Source organism: Homo sapiens, chromosome 13, assembly GCF_000001405.40.
Source record: "Homo sapiens chromosome 13, GRCh38.p14 Primary Assembly".
Taxonomy (NCBI): Eukaryota; Metazoa; Chordata; class Mammalia; order Primates; family Hominidae; genus Homo; species Homo sapiens.
Genome location: NC_000013.11, coordinates 34920945 through 34941190, shown reverse-complemented (window position 1 = coordinate 34941190; position 20246 = coordinate 34920945). Strand labels below are relative to the sequence as shown.

General features: G+C 35.7%; 2 annotated features.

Moving 5' to 3' along the window:
- Positions 5748-6257: an enhancer, noted in NCBI's record as "H3K4me1 hESC enhancer chr13:35509071-35509580 (GRCh37/hg19 assembly coordinates)". NCBI's record gives its function as "activates a minimal SCP1, AML or CMV promoter by ChIP-STARR-seq in primed H9 embryonic stem cells {active_cell/tissue: H9 hESC(primed)}" and the evidence as "EXISTENCE:reporter gene assay evidence [ECO:0000049][PMID:30033119]".
- Positions 8707-9906: an enhancer, noted in NCBI's record as "MED14-independent group 3 enhancer chr13:35505422-35506621 (GRCh37/hg19 assembly coordinates)". NCBI's record gives its function as "activates an origin of replication core promoter dependent on BRD2, BRD4, P300/CBP and CDK7 cofactors, and independent of MED14, by STARR-seq in HCT116 cells {active_cell/tissue: HCT116}" and the evidence as "EXISTENCE:reporter gene assay evidence [ECO:0000049][PMID:35650434]".

Below are 20246 nucleotides of genomic sequence, written 5' to 3'. Positions count from 1 at the left end.
ACCAGAAATATTAGGTATCTTGAGGTATATTCAGATCGTTTTAATTGTCCTCTCAAATGAAAAAGGTCAATATACAAATCCACCATAATCAGTTTTGTTATTATTCATATTTAATTGGACCTGCCAGTCAAGTTAACTCCCAGGATATGGGAACACGGTAAAATTCTAAGTACCACAGGTTATAAAAAAGTTCCTCAAAACCAGTACTTAGGATGAATTCTTGGTTGCATGTCTGTTTGTTTAAACTTGCACCAAAGTGATTGAATTGTTAAAGTAGTTAAGCAAACACTTCTGAAAGCAGTGGTAACTAGCATGTCCATTTAAATTAAATGGCAATTGAATTATAAAATGCTAGAATGCTTGAAACTGTACGGGAAATTTACAAAACATACAAGTCATAATAGTATGACTTGAGATATACTATATAATTGAAAAATCCTGTAACGTTTATATCCTTCTACTACATTTTTGTCTGTCCCAAGTGAGTATCATCTGCTTTTAAGAGTACTGTTTCATTTGCAAATTTAAAATGATATCTTTGTAAAATACATAAATCTAGACTGAAAGGTTGTCACACTAAGTTTTTTTACCCACTGTGCATATATCTATATGGCAGCAGGTTCTACCTTTTGCTATTTTTAGACTTCTTGCATGAGTACTTTGAGAGACAGTGACAACCTGAACTTTCTATTTCCTTTCTGAATGAATAGCTTAACATCATTTTTAACATTTCCATTTTGATTTTTCTTGTATTTTTTCTTAAGTAGTATGTATATGCAGTTGGTTGTATTTTTCTGCTCATTTTTCTTAGTGAAGATAGTGAGTGGGTAAAGATAATATCACCATTTCTAAGTAGGAAAACTCCACTTCTTTTGCCTACTTAATTCAATTTCAGAGATATTTAAAAGAGCTTACCAATTAAAAATCTTTCTCCAGTAGACAATCAGCTCCTCGCAGGCGCTATGATACTGTGGAAAGTGCATGATTCTTTGAGTCATAGTTACAACTTACTACCTTTGCAGTCTACTCAAGCTATTTGAGTTTCAGTCTCCTGGTTCCTTAAGTAGGAATGATAATATGTGTTTCATAGGGAAGTAAGAATTCCATAAAATAATTTCAGCTGAGCAGCTAGCATATAGTCAATGTGTCTTTGTGTCCTTAGTATACAGGCATGTGTGTTGCATGACCTATAAACACATGTAATACCAATTATAACCACATACAAGTCTGCATAATTGCACAGTTATATGTCTTCCATACCATCCCAAAAGCATAAAGTTCAGAAAAGTCAACAGGTCTATTTCTTTTTGGCCTACAAAACCTTTTCCCGGAAAATGTGCAAATAACTTTACATTTACATTAACAATATTTTGAAAGAAAAGCTACATAATAATAGAAGATACCCAATATGTATATTTTTAAATCTCCAGATTAAAAAATATATTTTATGTGGTGAATATTAATTTTGTATGCATTTTTGCATACCCATACTTCCTAAGGACAATCATTCAAAGATAAGAAACCTGTGAATCTGAGTTTCAGGAAGCAATATTGCAGAGAGGTTGAGAAGTCATGCCCCAGATTCAATGGAAGCTGGATTTAGATTCTAGTTCCACCACCACTTATATGTGTGATGTTGGGAAAATGACTTTAGCTTCAAAGCTTCAGTTTACTCAACCCAAAGTAAGGATGATAATACTACTTTATAGGATTAAAGGAGCTAATACATTTAACGTACTTAATGTAGTAGTAAGTGGCAATCAATAATGTTTCCCTTCATTGGCTGCCGGAAAATACCCACAGTTATTTTGTGTCATTATTTTTGGGTTTTTTTTTTTTTTGCACCTACCTTGCCTGACATAATTTACATTGAATAAATATGTTCAAAAATGAATGGATGGAAACAGCCGTTCTCCACACTATTCCCGTTTCCTTCACCTGTTCTTTAAAGAACACATTTCTTGCTTTCCTCTAAACTTTATCTGAACAGAATACTCCAAATTCAATGTGGGTTTAGACCTGTATAAAACAGAGGGAAATTCTTACCTCACCCTCAACCTTTAGCAATATAGCTCCTGTTAATGTTGCCCCAAATCAAATTAGATCTGTTTGGTTTGTTTTGGTTTTGGATTTTTTTCTTAACATGACACTAATGATTCGTGTAATGTAGTAATGATTCACATTTGGCACGTAGTAGGTTCTCAAATAATTTTGGTTCCATTCTCCTCTCATATTGAAATTATTATCACCATTAAATTAGTTACAGATCTGCCCATTCTTCCTGGTAATAGGTCTCGCATTCATCCCACTTTTTTCATCCTCACTGCAGCCACCCTGATTCAGATCCCAGTCACTTCATACCTGGTCTCCTCTTTTCCACACTCACTCTTCTCCAGTCCATCCTTACATGGGTAATCTTCGTAAAGGTCCATCTTGATGGACAGATTAGACCATCAGGATTAATTAGGATTAATAAAGAGTTTTACTTTATTAATCACAATAGCTTCTGCATGAAATAATTATCGACCTGAAAAACTAAGGCGTTTTCTTTTGTTATTACTGTTTTTTTAGCAGCAGCATATCTACAATTTGTAGCTTTACATGTAGATTTTGAGATATAAGTACAAAATTGAACATATCAATTTAAATTTAAATTTTATTTTAAGGCCAGGCATGGTGGTCCATGCTTGTAATCCCAACACTTCGGGAGGCCAAGGCAGGTGGGTCACTTGAGGTCAGGTGTTGAAGATCAGCCTGGAAAACACGGTGAAACCCCATCTCTACTAAAAATACAAAAACTAGCCAGGTGTGGTGGTGGCCACCTGTAATTCCAGCTACTCAGGAGGCTGAGGCAGGAGGATCAGTTGAACCCGGGAAGCAGAAGTTGCAGTGAGCAGAGATCATGCCACTGCACTCTAGCCTGGGCAAGAAACCAAGACTCTGTTTCAAAACAAAAAAAAAAGATTATTTAATACAAATTTTCTATTTAATTATCCATTAAATTTCATCTGCTAGGAATTTCTTAATCCTGATTATATCATGCAAATAATTTATTGTCTTATTAGTCTATGTGTAAATTTGGGAGCATTCCTTCTATACCTCCATTCAAATGTTGATTGAACAGGATGAAAACAGCTCAGCAGTCACCAGTATCACTCTGCTTGAATCAATTCACGTTTTTCAAACTGTGGGTCCCATCCTAATAGGGAGTCATGAAATTGATTTAGTGGGTTGCAACCAACAGGGTTTTTTTTAAATGAAATGAATAGAAACACACATAATGAGAAATTTCAAAATCTATTTTGTAAGGGTAAGTACCATTTTATAAGATCTGCTTTAATTACACACACGTACATAAAAATACATATGTATGTTTACTAGGTAATGATGTAATATGTATTTCTTACTGCAAATTGTAGTCAAAAAGTTTGAAAACTGATTTAAGTTGTTTATAAGCACCTGTTTAGCATACTCCTTCAATAATAAATTAGCTACCATAGTGTGCTGATAACTAGCACACATATTCCTCTGGCTTTACCAAAGGATACCGTAAGGGACCTTGACAACTGTCTAGCTGCAGTCTGGATACTCTCTGTTTCTGTATCTGAGCAAAATTAAATGAAAATATATTGATGTGAAGTATTATTACTTGCTTTGGAGATATTAAGCTACTTGCTATGGATTTTCGAGAATTAACCTCACCCTGCCTTTAGCACTTCAATCCTCTGGCACTCCTAGTTCTCTATGACTCCTCAAAGACCATTGAGAGTTGTTCAGTGATCTAGTTTTCAGATTGTTTTAGGATCAGTGGATGCAATTTGTCCTGCCTTGGGGACTTGAATTCATTTAGCCTCTCTAGGTGTCTATTTAGAATTTCTTCATCAAACTTAAATGTCAGTTTCTTCCAACTACCACTACTTCTTTTACCTTTTTTGCTCCACTAATTTTCCTCTTAAAGAGGGAACACAAACACAAAATAGAAATTCTATATTTGTATCCTAAGTTGACCCAATTTGGGAATGGTTAAAATGTTGAAGCTTACCAACCAATACATATTTGTATGCCAAAAATTAAACTAATTGAAATGAGTGATTCTGAATCTTTCATTTAGGAAAAGATTGTGTTGAGACATGGAAAATTATCAGCAAGTAATTTTAAAATGTCAAATGGTACTGAAATAATAAGTATTCTGGAATCATAAATGAACTAGATATCATACAAGCAGCCTAATGCAAACATGTACCCGTAAACATCACATAAATATGCATACAAATGCACCATGCACACATACTTATTCACCATTAAATTGTCATACCTCTGCCCATTCTTCGTGGGAGTGGGTCTAGCATTCATCTCATTTTTTTCATTCTCACTGCAGTCATCCTGATTTAGATTCTAGTCACTTCATACCTGGTCTCCTTGTTTCCACACTCACTCTTCTCCAGTTCATCCTTACATGGTAGTCTTCCTAACGTTCCACCTTGATGGACAGATTAGTGGTCCAGGATTTTACTGTATTCATCACAATAGCTTCTACATACATGCACTGCATCTGTGAAAACATCACCAGTAATTCTCTTTGCCTAAGAAATTAAGTCCTATCGGTACCAAAGACACTTCATACTTTAGCTTATTTGCTAGTTTTATCTCATTCTCTTCCACAGGAACCCTATACCACAGATCCCAACCCTTCTCAGTGTGTACAACTCTTTTTATCATTAAAAAAATTATAGACTGTTAGACTCCTACCTGACAGATGTATTCCTTTAATATCCATTAATTGAGAAAATTTACAGTGATGAACTGCTACTTTCAAGTTAATAATGCTATTTAAATAATTTTCACTTAAAAAATCACACATCTACATATATTTGAAATACATATACACACCATTTTGGGTTGAATTGTGTCCACCAAAAAGATACATCCAGGTTCTAACCTCAAGTACCTGTGAATGTGACCTTAAGATGAGATAATGGAGTGGAGTGGGCCCTTCACCAAATATGTCCATGTCCTCATAAAAAGAGAGGAGACACACAGAGGGAAGATGATGTAAAGACAGGGAAGGAGGCTATGTAAAGATATAGGCAGAGATTGGAGTTAAGCAGCTGCAAGCTGAGAAAAGCAAAGGATTGCGGGAACCACCAGAAGCGAGGAAGAGGCAAGGCAGGATTCTTCTCTAGAGCCTCCAGAGACAGCATGAGCCTGCTGATGCCTTGTTTTCTGATTTCTGGCTTCCAGAACGATGACAGAATAAATTTCTGTTGTTTTAAGCCCTGTAGTTTGCGGTGCTTTGTTACTGCAGCCCTAAGAAACGAATTCACCTGCATGTGTTTAACTTTTATTCTGTCCACAAACAATACCTGATGTATGTAAGTATTCATGGATCACTTTGAATAATTCCGAAGTCCCCAGGTGGGAAAACAGGGCTTCAGCCAACATGAATTTCTCTCTATCCCCAATTAATGTACTGTGCTTTCCTCCTTTAGTGCCTTACTCATTTTCTTGCTTCTGTCCACAGCCCTATCCTTCTCATCTCCCCTACTGAAGTTCTTGCCAGTGGAAGTGCCGTTTTCATGAATATATTCATGTTCCCACCCAGATGAAAGTGATCTAAGGCAAGGCGCGGTGGCTTACGCCTGTAATCCCAGCACTTTTGGAGGCCGAGGCAGGCGGATCACGAGGTCAGGAGATTGAGACCATCCTGGCTAGCACAGTGAAACCCATCTCTACTAAAAAATACAAAAAATGAAAAACAAAAAATTAGCAGGGCGTGGTGGCCGGCGCCTGTAGTCCCAGCTACTTGGGAGGCTGAGGCAGGAGAATGGCGCGAACCCGGGAGGTGGAGATTGCAGTGAGCCAAGATCGGGTCCCTGCACTCCAGCCTGGGCGACAAAGTGAGATGTCGTCTCAAAAAAAAGAAAAAAAAGAAAGTGATCTAAAACACTGTACCCAATTCCACTTTTAAAAAAATATTTTTCTTTCAGATAGCATAGGTTGACAAATTTTCACTTAAATAGTTTCCCTCTTCTCTGCCTCCTTTGCCAAGAGTAAGAAATTCATGTTAATATATGTAGTCAACTACACAACTCCTTCAGTGAAATTCAAAAAGAAAGAAAAACTATATAAAAAATGTTTTCACACTAACAAACTTTGAGCAGTAAATTTCTTTTAGTTTTGCGCAGACATCTATTTTACCATAGTTGCCATTGTAGTTGGTATACATAGGCTAGAGAAAGAAAAGTATGTTAAAGAAAGGAGTTTATTTAATTTTTACTGGCTGCTTAATTGTTTAAAATTGTAGCTGTCACACACTGATTATCTCTTTTCTGCCACACACTTTTATATGTGTTATTTCTAAATCCTTACCATAGTTCTTCAAGTAAGTTATTATCCCCATACTAGGACACTGGTCTAAAGAGAGGTTCAGTCAGTTTTGTGAAGTCACACTTAAGGAAGTGACACAATTAGGATTTGATCCTAGTTGTGACTGGCTGAAGCCACAGCTCTACTCCTATCCCACACTGCCTATACTGGGACCCAGACCAAAGCCATTACTAATTTCTACCAAATGGACCAGACAGAAGATACTAATGAGACCAGGAAAGGTCATTTAAAATTAACATCATCATTTTTTGTATGTATATTTGAAAGCGCCCCACCAAGAAATGATATCTGGAGCCAATCTGGTCTTATATCTCTTATCTATGCCTAGAAAGGTTCAGAAAATGCTATTAGCCTTTCTATTTCCTGGAAATCATTTTAATCCTGGACAAAAATCACTTGGAATAAACAAATTATTTTTTATTCATTAAAATTAACCAAAATTTAATTTCATTCTCATATTAGTATATCGTTCCTTATTATGCTTTTCTGGAAAAAAATTTGTAATCTAGTCCTTGTTTAAAAAGGTTATGATTACATATCTATATATTTATAATAAAAAATCACACACCCTGGGTAATGGGAGAGAAGAAATGCTGTGAGGAAATATCCAAGGATCCTTTGGAATAGGTATCTCATTATTAGAATCTCTTCAAAATAGGTGACAGCATGTTTACCAAACTCTAGCTCAACTGAGAAACTTCATAGAACAATCTGAGCCTAGTAGTGGTGCATAAAGTTTTAGAATAGAGCCTTTCTCTGCTGCTAGCAGCCATGGATTAACTGGTGGAAGAATGGCTTGAAATAGCTACTTCATTGTCCAATTAGCAGGTCCATTGTCATGGAGACAATTGGAGGTTTATACTTTGATTTCCCAGAACTATAATGTATCTCTTTTCACTTAACAGACAGAAGGGTCAGGATCGGAAAAGAGAGGTAAAAAGAAAGAACACAGTATCTGACCCGTACCTTCTACCTGAGAGTCTAAACTTAAATATTCTGGATTATCCATTATATGTAACCCCTTTGTTGTTAATGTAAAAGCAAATCTTAAAGAATTAAGATGCTTAATCATATTTATTATTTAGGGTTCTGTTAAATACACACAAATGTGTATATAAAACTTCATTTCTGTCTGGCTGATCTAAAATTGTGAGAAGTAAATGAAATGTGATATGTTAGCCACAGCTTTATCACTAGTTTCTCTGTTTATATTAAAACAAGCTCAGCCAGATTTCTTTTGCAGTGGCAAGAGCACATAACATAATGTGTTTCAGGCTATTTGCATCCAGTGAGGCATAGTAAGCATAGTGGGCACCTGGTTTGCCCTGCCCTCATAATTCATACCACAGTGTTTTCTTTCATAAGCACAAGAGAGCTCACATGATTACATTATAAAATAAAACATTTCTCCCAAACATTTCACTGGTTTGTTTTGTTTTGTTTTGTTTTGTTTTTTGCCATCCCCATTCTAATCCCAAATAATCCTTCAAATTATGGTGTAGTGGCTAAAAGAATCGGTTTTGAATTTAGGTAGATTGGGTTCAAATCCAGAAAAATTACTTATGAGCTTATTTCTGAACCTGTAAAATATACAGTAGTTCTCCCTTATCTGAGCTAAAGACATTCCAAGACCCCCAATAGATGCCTGAAACTGCATATAGTACTGATCCCTATACCAAACACAGGCAGATAATTTTTTTTTTATTTTATTACTATTATACTTTAAGTTTTAGGGTACATGTGCACAATGTGCAGGTTTGTTACATATGTATACATGTGCCATGTTGGTGTGCTGCACCCATTAACTCATCATTTAGCATCAGGTATATCTCCTAATGCTATCCCTCCCCCCTCCCCCCACCCCACAACTGTCCCCAGAGTGTGATGTTCCCCTTCCTGTGTCCATGTGTTCTCATTGTTCAGTTCCCACCTATGAGTGAGAACATGCGGTGTTTGGTTTTTTGTCCTTGCGATAGTTTGCTGAGAATGATGGTTTCCAGTTTCATCCATGTCCCTACAAAGGACATGAACTCTTCATTTTTTATGGCTGCATAGTATTCCATGGTGTATATGTGCCACATTTTCTTAGCCCAGTCTGTCATTGTTGGACATTTGGGTTGGTTCCAAGTCTTTGCCATCACGAATACACAGGCAGATAATTTTTGTTTTTGTTTGTGAGAGCACATGGGTTCTCTCTGTACACTATGCCTGGCTTTATCGTATGCCCTGCAGCGTTGCCACATAGCACCAGAGTTAATCTGTTCTTCCATGTTTTATGCCCTGATGCCTCCTTTACACTTCTGTGAATGTAGGTTCTATTAGGCATCTCCTTCCAGATGAGCCTGGTTTCATCATAATTGAAGACTTGCTTTGAATGGTATCCTTTCTCCTTAATCAATTTCATCAACTCTGCCAGAAATGTGGCAGTAGCTTCATCAGCAGCAGATGCAGCCTCTTCAATAATTTTTATATTTTTCAGTACAAACCTATTCCTGAATCTGTGTACCCATCTTTTACTTGCTGTAAATGACTGTTACTCCTTTTAGAGGATCCCTTGCTGAAGTCTTCAGACAGGTTCAATGTTCTCTGATGGAACACGTTGTCATCAATTGGAACATGTTTCTGTTCATGTCTTCCACCCACAAATGTAATGCCTTTTCCATCTTAACTAGCACTTATCACCAATGTGACCATGACTTTTGCAGTTTGAAGTGTGACAACAAAACTAGCAAGAAATTCTTTTAACTTCAAATTTCATGGATAGAAAATTCATTCTTACAATAGATCTTAGCAAATTCAGCATACAATTTTTTTTTCTTTTCTTATTAAGAACTTTCACCATTTCCCTTAAAGGAAGCACTTTAAGTTCTCTTTGGCATACCCAAATTGCCAGCATCACTACTCTTGCACGTTGAGGTCAGTAAGTAAAATAAGGGTTCCCTGAACACAGCACTGCGATATTGTGACAGTCCATCTGATAGCCAAGATGGCTACTAAGTGACTAAGGGGCAGGTTGCGGGTACAATGAGGACACACTGGACAAAGGGATGATTCACGTCTCAGGCAGGATGCAGTGGGATGGTGCAATATTTCATCATGCTACTGAGAATAGCATGATATGTAAAACGTATTAATTGTTATTTCTGGAGTTTCCCATTTACTATTTTCGGACTATGGTTGACCATAAGTAACCATGGGATAAGGGGGAAAGCAAAACCATGGGATAAGGGGGTACTATTGTAACTACCTCACATGTATTGCTTGGAGGATTTACAGAGATAACACATATAAAGCATTTAGCCAGTGCCTGTAATAAGTGCTCAACAGGTGATAGAAGTGATTATAGATTCGTGCCAAAAGAGGGCTTAATACAGTTTTTGTGAGTTTTCAAATTACATAATTAAATACACTAATCTCCACTTATTTTCTCTTCATTCATTAACTTGGCTTTCCCTTCTTCAAAGAGCAAATAGGACATCAGTGTCTTCTTTAGTGTTTTGTTTGTTTAATGAATAGCCTAATATATATTCAACGTTAGTTTATCTTACGATAGCCTTAATGATTTCCATCCCTATCTCAAACTTAAATGTTTTATCCCTTTAATTACATTAAGTAAAATTGGCAATATAACTTTTCTTTTTGGTTTGCTAGTCATAGGGAAAGAAGGCATATTAGAAACTAAGTATTTTTCTCTGCAACTTTATAAAAATAAGAAGCCAAAAGAACAAAGACATAATAATAACAAAATACTTCCTTACAATTTACTAGCCCATGGAAGTAAACAGTCTACCAAAATGTATCTGATGGTTTAAACCAGACTTTTCAATATCTATTTCCTTTTCCTTTTCATTAAAAATATTTTATTACTGCTTTCTTTGTAAACAAGCTCAGTACTTTTAAGTTTATGCCAAGACAGAGGGTTTTCCCTGATTTCCTTCTTTAAAAGGACAGTGGCATTTCATGACATTAACTTTTCCAAATTATTTCATTGGTGTTTGTGTTGACATTGACCCACAACACTGTGGCAGCATTCATATGGTATGCACTTCCTAGCTATGGCTAAGATTATGCATATAGCTTCCAGTTTTTAAAATGGGAGTCAACAACAGATTTTTGTACCTCTACTTTCTTTTCCTATCTGTTACCTCTTTGGAATTGTCCTATCCAGAATATTTATAAAAGTCATAATGTCTTTAAGTAGTATCTAATAAGTAGCCTTCATTCACTGGAAATGTCATATGATTAATTTTTTCTTTAAAAAAAATCCCTCTACTAATGCCTAAACTGAAAACATCTTGTACTGAATCACTATAAAACATATATTAACTTTACACCTGTGGATATTACTGTTAACTATTTTGAAAGATAACTATAAAGACATAGTTTCAGCACTCTAAAATTGGGAAATGTAATCTGTTTGACGTTTAAGTAAGAAAAATGCCAAAGAAAATATAATCACATATAACACAGAACAGATTTAAGAGCAGAGATGCAATGGAACTTAGAAGGCAGCCACTACAAACAAAAAGTTGATATAAACAACAAATAGTCAATATAATTGATACATCAACCCTTTGAGCTTTGTGACCATAAGCCTTAACCTAAAATGAAATACAAATTTACTAAATAAACTAGTAAATTAATAATTTTTACAGTAGCAATTCTGTAGCATTCATTTTAGAGTCATCAGAAAACATACTAATGACCATCCAGTGAGCAAAACATGAAATGGGATAACTTTAAAGAGACATTATGTATTTCTAACAATACATGTTTGTTAAATACATGAATTCTATGTTTAAAAGATTGTGTGTCTATTAAGTAATAAAACATATATGGCCTTTTTAAGAAGGTTAGAAAAACTAAAAAGGAGTTCAACTAAAGAGAACAAAAACTTTAAGTGAAATACATTGAATTAATGTAGTATCTTATAAAGTAGCACGTGCTAACTGATTATGCAACGAGAGCCACTCATGTGGTATCTAATAAATAGTCTTCATTCACTAGAAACATAAGAGCATTTTGTAAAAGCCTAAAGGAGAACTAACATTTTATTCCTTACTACACGTATCTATTGAATGTATTTTGCAAGCCATGTGTCATTTCAAGGTACAGGAAATATAGTGGTAAATGAAACAAAGTCCCTGTCCTCATGTAGCTTATATTCTAATAGAGGTCACAGACAATAAACTAGTAAAATGTATATAAATAATATGATTTCAGAAAATGATACTTTTATATGGTATTTATTTTTATGAAAAAGAATAGTCTTGTAGTAATTTGTTATACAATTTTTTCCTGACTTTACATTAGCACTACTTGAAAGCAGGGACTACAGCTTATAAATAAACTCTGCAGCAATATACTATGCTCATTGGTTGATACATGGTAAGTACTTGATAAATGTCTCAAGGAAAGAAAGGAGGAAAGAACTTAAAAGGTAAAAATTCTAACAATTCAATACATTCAATAGTTTGATACAGATTACTTACATTGCAAGGCAATGTCACATATTAAAGGAAGAAAAAAACAAAAGGTTTTAAAGTCAGAATAAAATCATTCCTCTAAAGGACTGCTAAATTCCCTAAAACATGATTTTGGGGGAATAATAAGGTCCTCAAAACTAGCATTCAAAGTATTAAATCGTCACTGTGGTGTTAAGTAAATTATTTGGCCTTTTTGAGTCTTGATTTTCTTACCAATGAAATGGGAATGAACAGCTCTCATTATAGAAAGGGGCTGTAAGCACAAATGAGATAAATTATGATCCTTTGAAAAGTACAAAGTATTACAGAGAAAGCAGTAGCATTAATTCTGGCAGCAATCTGGAGTGGAGCAGTAATTCCAGTAATCTGGAAATACAGGCAGTAGTGAGTCACAGCTGTAGACTCAGAGCAGGGAACTGGTTTGGATAAAGTGCGTGACAAGTTGTGGGGATGTTAAAAGGAGCCAGGCAGGTTCCATGCCCAGAGCTAGTGGTCAGGAATCAATTGGCAAGGAATCAAAACTGGTCACACAAGCCACAGTTGGGGCAAACCTGAAAAGACAGTTGCAGTGACCATGGATCCTCAAGAATGGAATAGGAAGGCAATATAAAGTTTGGTAAACAGTCAGGAATCTGGAAATGTGATGAACAAAAAGAAGGATAATGTAAACAAGGGGCCAAATTTGAGATCCTCAAAAATGCGGCAAGGCAGTTTTGTGCATCAGCTCCAGTGTATGTATAAGGATCCTTTGAAGGAAAGCATTGACTCCTGAGGAGCAGGTGCTCAGGATTACATGGTTGAGGTAAGGGAATGTAGGTGGAGCCAAACCAACAGTTTCTCCTCAAGAAAATTCTGGCAATAAATATCTTAGCCAGTTTTTAGAAGAATCTTTCCAGTCATCCAATTTCTAATTGGACAGCAAGATAAAGCTTCATCAAATCTCTAGACAAATTTCCCTTGGGATTTACATCATGTTTTCATGGTACCACAAAATATTTTGAAAGTAAAAAAACTCAGTTGGTGATGTATGCACTCATTATTAGATCCTCAGTATGTATGGTTTCAGCTGTGAATGAAAGCCTTGCCCCCTCTCTTGTTGACATGAGTTTACTAAGTAATTGGCTAAAGTAAATTAATGAATCAATTGTACTGTAGCAACATGCATGTGAATGCTAGGCAAAACCCTCCTGTGGATGGGAGAGAATTACTGTCATTAGGTAACTGTTTGTTTGCTTTCTATCTCAACATTCAAAACTGACCAAGGAACCCCACTAGCTAGACATGTGTAGTGATTACCAGCAAACCTCAGGCCAGGCTCACTCAGGACTGGCTACCCCCAGGAAGGAGGGGTGGCATGCCAGTAAGGAACCTGGCCTCAGCAGCAAGTTGTTTTTTTCTGCAAGTATCGTGTATTTCTTCTCCAACCAATTTTGTTCCCCTTGGTTCCTGGGAACCATTATATCGTTAGGTTAATGGACCATTGGTTTATCCACCTGTATGTTGCCTGAATTTTGGCCATTCAACCATGCATTCCTGGTGATTGGGTTTACAAGTACTAGTTTCCTAAGTCCAACATCATGTTCAGATATCTCGTGACGATAAATTGGTGTAGTAACCATGGTATGTCAGCAAAGAGATGGCCCCACTCATTAAAAATATGTTGGTATTGGAGGCTTCAAAAACTTGTATATTTGTTACTGATATATAGAACAAATAAATGGCCAAATACAAAATTGTGCAGAACCCAGATTATCTAGTATCTAATAAAGAATTAATAAAGAATATGTATTAATGTAGATGTCTTTATTTACATATTAATGGCTTTTTTCAAATTGGCCAAATTTTTCAAAACAATTACATATTAAAAATTGAGATACATGGAAATTCTAACAATAGATTTATAGTCATTCTTGGGGTGGGCATTAACACTTTTTGGTAACTTCTGTAAGTTAATTATAGTTTAACTTCCTAATTAATTAATTCTGTATGTTAATTTATAGTTTAACTTCCTAGACGCTTTGGTGTCTTTTTTTACCCTCACTTTAAAATACACACAATAGTTTAAATATATCACATTTGGTCAAAAGTTCAAATTATTTTATTATTTAAAGCATGTAGAAAAAATATAATAGTTAAAATTCCTGTGAAAAATTCTAATACAGAGGAATCACATGGCTATGTTTGGAAAGATAATATTTCTTTAAAAATGTGTTGTTTTTTATGTTTTATGTTTGCGATAAGCATTACTGAAGTTTGATTGAAGAACTTCATGATTTTTATGTTTTACTTTCTTGTATTGAGAAATAGTGGTCCATTGTTGGGCTGTATTTAAAATTAATGTGTATAAAACAAGAAATATTTAATTAGAGTTATTAATTTTCCACATTTAATATGTGTATTTGACCTAAATCAGTATCTTCTATCATATCAGCCTCACATATAACAAGAATAATCGCAAGGACAACAACAAATTTGAATGTTTCCTTTGTGCCTATGCTCCTATCATGTTATATTCATTCTTATAAATCTAACAACTAACAATTAATTTGAAGTTAGACACACAGGATTTACTCATCAGTATTAGAGCATTCACTGCTAGCCAAGAAGGTTACTATCCCTGGTGCTGAAACTGCTCTGTGTAGTCCTTGTGGTTGAAGAATTAAAACAGTTTCTCTTAGACATTTCCTTTCATTGAAATTATGAATTGGATAAATGTTCATACCTTAAAGGAAGTATTAAATTTCACATATGTTAACATCTTAATTAATGTAAGATTAATATTCTACTTATGACTATGTTTTAGTATTGAAAAATGAGTTTCTGATGAGTTTCATTAGTTTCTAGAGAAAACAATGGTTTAAAAAATTTCAGTACATAAGACATTGAGGAGTCTATGAATGTTCCAGAAATCTGAAAACATATACCACTAATCAAAGTTTCTCCATTCATGTTGACTAGCATTTGCCTTAGGTGTCAGAATTAATGGATTTGTGTTAAAAATAAACACCTGAAATCTAATTCCCTAGCTGCATTATAACACACTAGATTACAAGTACTAAGCTTTTATTTAATGCTTATAACGGCTTTAAATTGTAGCAAAATGGGCTTCCCCCAAGAGGACTGCTTTGTTGATCCTAAGATGGGGTCATAAGCCAGAAGTTAACTATGCTTTCATATATTCTTGTAAGTAGAAGTACAGTGTTGGTGTAAATTCTCCTTAGATGGATAGGTAAGCCCAGAGGAAATAATGGTCATTGGCACCATATGACCGTATGCAATTCATATGCATATTTATATCAAGAAAAGAACATTATAGGTCTGGTGAGACCCTATTTTTTTCTGACAGTGTCATCTGTATTTACGTGTCTATTTCGGGAATTTGGAAGTCAAGGGATTCTATGCTGGATTGTGAAGCATCTGTTTCTGCTTGATGTAGCTACTCAATTTTGTATTCTTGACTAATAAAGTCATAAACATAATGCAACCTCTGTGTGTGCTCTCCTTCCATTAATTTATACTTTACCTAAAAGTATTGAATGTGTATGTTATATAACAGTTTCCTATAAATGATATTAAATGATTTATTAGTTTTATTCAATAAAGTTTTAAGTGTTTTCTTCTATGACTACATTACTTGTTAACAAGAAATTTCTTTATTTTTAACTGAAAACTTCAAGCGAGATTATCTGGGTAACTCTTTCAAACAGAATTGTCCCTGTATTTTGGGATTGAATATATTAATTTCTTTTACTATTTTAACAGGACATAATTTTACAAGACAAGCCACTTTTTCAAATCCTGCTTCTCCTCCCATTTTCCCTATCTGTGTGATTGGCACCTTCAACCCCTGTAGCCTGCCTCTGCTCTGTCTTAACCAAGTCCTACTGATATTACTTCCTAAGTATTTTTCAGCCCTGTCCTTCCTCTCCATCAGGATGGACTCATTTCCAGGTGAAATCCTTATGGTACCCTCCCTGGATTATTGCAGTAATCAGAGAGTTGGTCTCCTTACCTCAGGATTCACTTCTTCTCATCTGTTGTTCACAGTGACATCAGAAAGATATTTTAAAATGTTGAACTAGAATTAATTATATAAAACACACACATACACATAAATAGCACTTAAATCCTTCAATGATGTTTCAATTATATAAAATATAATATAGGAGGCACTTTATGTTCTGGCCTCAATCTTTCAATTCAAACTTGTCTCCTGCCACTCTCTCCTTTGAACATTGTATTCCAGCTACTTTAGAATAATAATAATATATAATATTCATGGAGCCCTTCCTGGGTTCCTATCACTGGACAAAATGCTTCACATATATTATATCATTTACTCTTTGACAACTTTATTAGGTAGGTACTATTACTATCTATATTTTATAGATAAGAAAAAAGAGGGTAAAAACTTGCCAAAGTTACAAAGCTTAGAAGTGTACCAGTTGGGATTTGAATCTAGGCATCCTGCCTCTGCAATCCACAGTGGCTTTCTTGTGCCAAAAGGCTTGCAGTTCCCCAGACTTGACTTTCTCAAAATCTGTCTTTCACATGCTCTTCCAACTGTCTGGAAAATCTTTCACAACCTCGTTCTACCTGTGGTACTCCTGTTCACCCCACAAGACTTGACTCCATCTGTCCCCCCTCCATGAAAGTTTCTCTGAATCTCAGCACTTTGGGAGGCTGAGGCAGGTGAATCGCCTGAGGTCAGAAGTTTGAGACCACCCTGGGCAACATGGTGAAACCCCGTCTTTACTAAAATACAAAAAACTAGCCAGGCATGGTGGCGCACCCCTGTAATTCCAGCTGCTCAGGAGGCTGAGGCTGGAGAATTACTTGATCCTGGGAGGCAGAGGTTGCAGTGAGCCAAGATCACACCACTGCACTCCACCTTGGCTTACAGAGTGAGACTCCATCAAATAAAAAAGAAAGAAAGGAAGAAAAGAAAGGAAGGAAGGAAGGAAGGAAGAAAAAAAGGAAAAGGAAAGGAAGGAAGGAAGGGAAAGAAAGGAAAGAAGAGAAAAAGAAAAAAAGAGAGACAGAAAGTAAGAAAAAGAAAAAAGAAAGAGAAAAAGGAAAGAAAGAAAGAAGGAAGGAAAGGGAAAGAAAGAAGGAAAGAAAGAAAAAGAAAGAAAGAAAAGAAAGAAAGAAAAAGAAAGAAAGAAAGAGAAAGAAAAGAAAAGAAAAGAAAAGAAAGAAAGAAAGAAAGAAAGAAAGAAAGAAAGAAAGAAAGAAAGAAAGAAAGAGAAAGAAAGAAAGAAAGAAAAAGTTTCTCTGACTCCCTGGTCAGGGCTCATGCCTTGGCACTGAGGGCGTCTTGCAAAACTGAAGGAGGCCACTTGGTGTAGCAGACAGAAAATAATTGTGATATGAGATAGGCCTGAATTGGATTTATGGCTCTATTGCATATTGGTTTTGTGATTTTGGGAAAGTCATTTAATCTCTCTGAATTTTAGTTTCTTTAGGGATTAATAGTACCATTTCCAGGGAGCTGTTATTAGGATAAGAAAACAACCAGAACACAGCAAGAATTCATTAGTGCCCTCACCGCCCTTCCTCCGTTGCAGCCCTCAGTACCTGAATGGCAATCATGCATCTTCTCACTGGCCTGTGGATTGCTTCCCCTTTCATCTTTGGCTCTGCAGTATTCAGTGTCACTAGTAAAATGTGTGAAATGAATGAATCGACAGCTGATGCTTAGTACCTAATGACACAAGTGAATGAATCTTTTTGTTCATTTTGTGGCCAGAAAGATAGTGTAATTAAGTAATAACAACGGAAGAAAGAGAAACTCCAGCTATACTTTGTCCTTTTCTCAAGTAGCATCTAAAACTTTTTCCTTCTTTTAAAACATTATCACTGAAGGATCTCTTTGAATGTGTCTTGAATTTTACATAAGCAGATGATCACAACTCAACATAATATTAGAAGATTATATTATTTTAAAAATTGGTTCATAGTTTTATAGTCTTGGAATATCTATCTATCTAGGTATCTATCTATCTATCTACCTACCTACCTACCTACAAAATATATTTAGGCTGCTTTCCTGAGGCTATTTTGTTATTCCATTATTTCATTTTTTTCAAGATCCTGATATTCCCTGGTGTATCAGGTCTAGGTATTTATGATTAGGAGAAGAAATGATTCAGTGGCAGCTCTCCAGGATTTTGAATTATGAGATATGAAACCAGAAATTGCAACTTACATGGATTGGTTGGAACACTGTGTATTACTGTTTCTGTGTCAACTTCTCTTCTCCCTTGTTTATATGTGTTTAATATGCATTTCAGCACTATGTATTTGTGAACATTTGAACCCAAACCATAGAACAATTGAAGATGTCATAGTTGGAAAGGCATAAAAGGTCATTCTAAGTGTGTGAACAAGTTAGAGAACTACAAAATTAGAGATCATTATAGCTAGATTCCAGAGAGAGACTTCATTGCTTTTCAAAGAAATTAAGCCATAGATAATCATGACAGGTTGAAATAGGTCAGGATTTCTAAAAATAGTGTCATGTAAATTACCTATGTAAACACATTAAAATATAAATTATTTGAAAAATGAATAGTAGGTCCTCAGAATAACCCTACATATAAGTATATAATAAAAGTATGAGTTCAAGAGCAGAATGTTAAATGAAGCTGCCTGTCTTGGTTTCTTTACTAAGATTCTTCTATTCTGCTTTCTGAAACTGTTACGTTCCCATTATAAACTTTGTACCAAGTTAAAAGTAAGGCCCCTTTTCCCCCTTTATTCTGTCTTCCTGGCTCTCCAGTCCTAGGAAGTTAAAAAGACTCAGAAAATCCCATCTTTACTTCTATGAAGTTTGGGAGAAGAGTCAAGATAGGCTATAAAGTGTTGCACTTCATAATCCAAGCATCCTTCTACTGATAGTAGAGTTTCATTATCCTTCCTCAGATATATGCAATGACAAAAATAGGTAATGAGAAAGTGTGCACCCAAGTAACTCTTTGAGTATATAAGGGCTGATTAAGTTGAAAGAAGAATTGCCGCCAGACGCAGTGGCTCACGCCTGAAATCCCAGCACTTTGGGAGGCCGAAGCAGGCGGATCACTTGAGGTCAGGATTTCAAGACCAGCCTCGCCAACATGGCGAAACCCCGTCTCTACTAAAATTATAAAAGGTATCCGGGCGTGGTAGTGCACGCCTGTAATCCCAGCTACTCAGGAGACTGAGGCTGAAGAATCACCTGAACCCAGAAGGCAGAGGTTGCAGTGAGCTGATATCATGCCACTGCACTCCAGCCTGGGCAGCAGAGTTAGACTCCATTAAAAAAAAAAAATTGCAAAGTATCTACTAACCTAAAAAATGCACAGCCTCAGTATTCAAAGAGTTTCTGTTCTAGTATCATGTCAGTTTCATATATAATTTGTTTATCACAACTGCACACCCTTACGTAAAGGAAATGCACAAGTTGAGATGTTTATTTTGGCTAGAAAACTCAGAAACATAAATAGAGGGAATTTGTGAACTGTCTTTTCAAGGAGGTCTTTAAATGGAATGTATTCATGATAATGTTAATAATGTTAATGTAGGGCTACCTAGAGATAAAGGGAAAAATTAAACACTTTTTTTTTTTATTTAACTTTTGGAGTCAGTTATTAGGAAAGCATTTAAAAGTAAAGTCAAATTCAAATCTTCCTATCCTGTGAGCTCTGCCTCTCATCTCTGTCAGGTTGAAACTCCATCAAAGACTGGCAGTCACATGAATGGAGTGGAAAATATTCTCTAGTTTATTTGTTTGTGTATTTTTTCTTTAATGTTCCAACTCACATAATGATAAGTTCAACATGAAAATTAAAAGCAATCACATGTAATTCTCAATATCAGAGTAGATGAGTGTGGCTGCCTCCTCAGCAATACCCAGAATGCATTGCAGTTTTCCCAGCTGCCCTTGCACCTTCTCAATAGCCACATGACCAGCTTTGGTGACTGCTGTGTGTCAGTGAAGGGAGTATTTTCCCCTTTTCCATAGCTAACATGCAGATGTGGTGATAAGCTCTTTTGGGCCATAAAGGCCATGCCTTACTGATTGGATAAAAGAAAAATAGAAGATACCCAAGTACTGACCACCCTGTAAAGCTATGCCGCATTAACAACTTGTTCTATCGTGTGACCAGGAAATAGTCTCTTTTCTTGTCTAAGCCACTCTTATTTTGAACTTCTTTCACAACCACCAAACCTATATCTTAACTAACACAAAACTTTGTACCTGGAAGAGAAGCTAAACAGAACAGAATCTGAAATATGTGGCATTTACTCGGAATTCCCCAGCAAGTGACAGTGATACAGCTGGTGAGTTTAGCTAGGTCATGGACAAATGTTTGTTAAAACCACCATCTATGA